This window comes from Homo sapiens, chromosome 14, assembly GCF_000001405.40.
Source record: "Homo sapiens chromosome 14, GRCh38.p14 Primary Assembly".
In the NCBI taxonomy this organism is placed as follows: Eukaryota; Metazoa; Chordata; class Mammalia; order Primates; family Hominidae; genus Homo; species Homo sapiens.
The window spans coordinates 97,349,509-97,354,390 of NC_000014.9; the positions used below are offsets into that span (position 1 = coordinate 97,349,509).

Genomic DNA, 4,882 nt, shown 5'->3' on the forward strand with positions numbered 1-4,882 from the left:
TAAAATAAAACCTCAAAGAAAATAAAAACGTTAGTGACATTTATACAATTATTGGTCAAACTCAGTTTGATCTTCAATTTAAGAGATTGCTCGGATTCATATATTACAGAGACATGACAATAGTGCAAGTATTTGTCAGTAATAAAGTGCATTTTGAGACCACAGATTGGCCCCTTAAGAATATCTATAGCGCATAATGTGAGGGGCCAGCATGGGAGAGGCAGCTTCCTATTTATTGCCCCTGGGCTTGCAGTAATGAAGAAGTCAAGGTATAGAGGTAATGCCATGAATTGATCCAGAAAAATATTTTCTAGATTATAGAGACCAGAAGGATCAAGGATCATAACTCTTCTTTTTCGTGGATAAAAATAAATGAAGCTCAAAGCAGGCAGATGTCATGTCTAGGGGCTGCACAGACAGTTCAGGGAAGTGATGTCAAGGATGGTTTTGTGGGAGGGCTCACTGTGATATCACATTTAGGAAGAACTTCTGGACAATAATAAAATAATAAATAATAAAGTAATAACAAAATAATCTTAATTTGTGTTTCTAGTTACTCCTAAGCACCTACCAGTGTGCCCAACCATGTTGGGCTGGGCCCAGAGGATGTGGAGATGATGTCAACAGCGCAACAGCAGCCCTGAGGTCAAGGACGCCCTTTATATAACCATGAAACAGAAAAAAATACATCTATTGTGCATCTGGCTGGGGGACAGAGTTCAATGAAATGTGGGAGAGTCTGTATATTTGGATATAATGAAGTATGGTAAATGCAAGGGCAATGCATGTCAGCAGGTTTTAAGATGAACCTAAGAACAGGGTCGGGGTTTGAAAAGGGTCTCAGGAGCAGATATTCCTGTGGGAGGACCTGACAGGTGAGAAGCACACAGTTATCAAATTAGAGAGGTGAGTTTAGGAAGAACCCACTCTACTCCTAGGGAAAGCAGAGGAGATATAAAAAAATGACACTGGCAAGCGTAGGAATTAATACCAGTGGTCCTGGATTGCCATGCTGGTGTTTGGATTCATGTATTTCATCAGGTGTCTGCAGACTATAGCTTGGGGCACAAATCTGGCCTGCCACCTGTTTTTATAAATAAAGTTTTATTGGAACACAGACATGCCCATTAATTTACATGTTGTCTATGGCTGTTGTCACAATACAACAGCAGCACCGAGCAGTTGTGACACAGACTGTGTGCCCAGCAAAGCCTAAAATATTTGCCATCCTACCCTTTAAGAAAATGTTTGCTGGCCCCTTTGTTAGTCACTGGGAAGGCAGGGGAAAATTTTGAGTGAAAAGAATAATCTGGGTTTATCTAAGGTGCACTGGATGGGGAAGGCTCAGAGACCATTTCTCCATTACTCTTTCTTCTCTTCTTCTTTGGCTGTCAGTGGTGTGCTGGTAAATGTTTAACAACTGGCTCTTTGTGGAGGAAGAAAAATCCACCAAACCTGAAGTACAGAGTTTGCCAATTTCCATGCTGTAAATATTTTCACTATGGCTGATATCAAACTACCAGGTGAGGTCACTGAAGGCAGAGTCGGTAAAAGAGATGTACACAGCCTGCTCTGGAGGACTGTATGAGCTGAGTCCAACACACCCTGCCTGGCTTCCCCTATAGAGAGCCTCAGTCATTCACCAGCAATCCTGGAAAGCCTCATGTACGATAGAGCCACAGAAAGCCACTTACTTCCTGTCTGGCATGGGCAGTAGCCCTTCAGACACTTTCTGGTCAGACAACCTGTCAGCAGCTGCAGAAGTTGACCCTGGCTAATGCAGCAAAAGAGCCACGTGCTGGAAGCCTGTGGGAGAGGTCACAGGAATGAGGCAAAGGCTGAATGACCACTTTTCTGGAAAGATGCTGTAGATCTAGGTATCTAAGCAGGAGGCTCTAGGTAGGACACTGGGGATGTTGGCCATCTAGGCAGCAGGAGCCACGTGGCTTTGCAAAAGGAAGGTTGCATAGAAGGTGATATTCTTCTACTCAGAACTCCAAGCTGATCATGTTTTTGTGTATGAAAGTCACCAGGTGGTGCTGACACGAGCTGGCAGGTGAGAACCTTGGTGTGGGGCCTCATTTGTGCAGCGCCTGGTTAAGAGACACACCAAGCTAAGCACTATCGATACATTCACTTAAATCCTCTGTGCAACATCTGGTATGAAATGCCTACTGTGGACCAGGCACAGTGCTGGACACTGGGATACAAATACAAGTAAAAAGAAAAACAAGAAAACAAATGCTACCCTCCAGACCTTGACATGTCGGGAAAAGAGGGGTGAATATTCCAGTAACTGCAGTTCAATCTGGTGGATGGTTAAAGGAATACACCCTGTGGTACTGACAACCTGGAGCCACTGTCAACTGAGCTAGTGTCCTCACAGAAGTGCCTTTAAAGAGTTACATTTTCATGCCACATTTTCGTCAAGGCTTTTACTATAGGATCATGTGAAACAAAGATGAGAAGATGTATTTCTGCGTTTTTTGGTAAAACTTCTGTTGAAGATAGTATTCATTGCATTGCCTAGTGCGTAAAAGGTCCCACAATAAATTCTCCTAGGAGTTTAGTGCTAGGAAAAAAAAATTGCTCTCCTATTAAATGTTTTGCTGAAACTTTTGTCAGATCATGAGACTTTGTGACTTATCCTGTTTCTCTTTTTCTTTAATTGCTAGGAAATTCCCACTTAATTACATTGAGGACATCACCACCATGATCATACTTGTTGATATGGTTTGGCTGTGTCCGCACCCAAATCTCATCTCGAATGGTAGCTCCTGTAATTCCCACGTGTCATGGGAGGGGCCCAGTTGGAGGTAATTGAATAATGGAAGTGGGTCTTTTCCATGCTGTTCTCATGATAGTGAATATGTCTTATGAGATCTGATGGTTTCATAAATAGTGTTTCCCCTGCACACACTCTCTTGCCTGCCACCATGGAAGACAGGACTTTCCTTCTCTTTCACCTTCTGCCATGATTGTGAGGCCTCTCCAGCCATGTGGAACTGTGAATCAATTAAATCTCTTTCCTTTATAAATTACCCAGTCTCAAGTATGTTCTTATTACCAAAGTGAGAACAGGCTGGGCGTGGTGGCTCATGACTGTAATCTCAACATTTTGGGAAGCTGAGGTGGGCAGATCATGAGGTCAGGAGTTCAAGTCCAACCTGGCCAATATGGTGAAACCCTGTCTCTACTAAAAATACGAAAATTAGCCAAGCATGGTGGTGTGAGCCTGTAGTCCCAGCTACTCGGGAGGCTGAGGCAGAAGAATTGCTTGAACCCAAGAGGTGGAGGTTGCAGTGGGCTGAGATCACTCCACTGCATTCCAGCCTGGGCGACAGAGTGAGACTCCATCAAAAAAAATTAAAATAAAATAAAATAAATAAATAAATAAACTGATTGAAATTATGTCTGGATCCAGTTAAATTAAATTATATATAATAATTTAATAACTATTATATATAATAATGATAATGGCATCATTTGCTGAGAGTCAATACTCGATTTGATGTGATTCTGATATTTTTAGAAATGGACTGTCTTATTGTTGAACAAATTTAAGTGAAATCCCTATAAAATTACATAATGGAAGTAAACACGTGTTCTTGCTAAAAATCATTGTTGCCCCATTCCCCCATCTCTGTAATTAATCAAGTTATTCTCCAGGTTGCTTGATTGGACGCACTGCTCCCAAGTCCCTCCTTCCACCGGAGTCCCCTGGGAACATATACCTCAGTGCTGGACCATTGCCTGAGTCCCCACTTGCCTCACCTCTTGTGAATCTGTCATTCTGACCCGGGGTTTTCCTGACCACTCTATTGCTGTTCACCACTCCATCCCTCCAACTGCCAGTACTGCACCTGGTCCAGAATTCATAAGAGACAAACAGCCTGGCTCTGCTTCCCACCGGTTTTCTCATCAAGGCTCAAGCAGGAAGATTCTAGGAAACTTTTCAAGTATTTAGGAATTTACATTGGATGAATGAGGCTCAGACTGGCTGAACGTGTGGCAGGAACTCCACTTTCAGGGTGGACAGGGGAATTTATTGCGTTAGATAAAATTCAGCTTAAGAAGCCACAAGAAACCTCACAGTGGGCATGAAAGGTGGCCTGCAGTTTGAATGGCTTTTTAGGGACCTAAAGGAGATGTTGTCTGAAGACATCAAAAACAAACTGAGACATAGATCTGTGCGAACTGTCGTTTTTCTCCTTTCTTCCTCCTCAGCCACATTTTAATACTTCCTCTGTTAAGGCCACTTGTCTCATCTTTCCTTTGCAAGATATTTCCCAATGAAAGATGAAGAAGGGCTGATGCATGACATGGAAAATTACTTTTCTGGTCACTGGACTGGCTGTAGATTTCCTTCCTGCCATACTAGTGTCCACCCCCTATCTGCAGGTTGATTTGTTAGATGTGGGGCCTCTTCTAGGTGAAGGAGAAATAGGTAGAAAGTTGTCATAAAACTGCAGGTCACTGTGCCTTCTCTGGTTACCTCACTCTGAAATGAAAAACTGGATTGCTATCTCAAAATGGCATGTCCCCCTCTAGGCTCTAAAATATTAAACATATATGCACACGTGTACACAGACATAAATAAAAGGCACTCATTGCTCACCTAAGCCAGAGACACTACTAATACATAAACAACCAAGAGATTTTTCCAGGTGATATTTCCTTCCTTGCAAACATTCACCTATATATTACTGCATTGACAGCAGAAGTCACATTACTAGCAGTTCTATTTTCCATAACAGTTATCCAAAGAAGTTTCTGCCTTGCTGAATGACAGGTTTGCATGCACGGACATAAGACCATGGCTGATACTCTGTTATGACATCCATCTTCACTTATAAGGAAAGATAGAGTTTCTCTCATCTCT

At 42.4% G+C, this 4,882-nt stretch overlaps 1 annotated feature.

Moving 5' to 3' along the window:
• Positions 1,536–1,595: an enhancer, noted in NCBI's record as "active region_8996". NCBI's record gives its function as "activates an Ori minimal core promoter by ATAC-STARR-seq in GM12878 lymphoblastoid cells {active_cell/tissue: GM12878}" and the evidence as "EXISTENCE:reporter gene assay evidence [ECO:0000049][PMID:35858748]".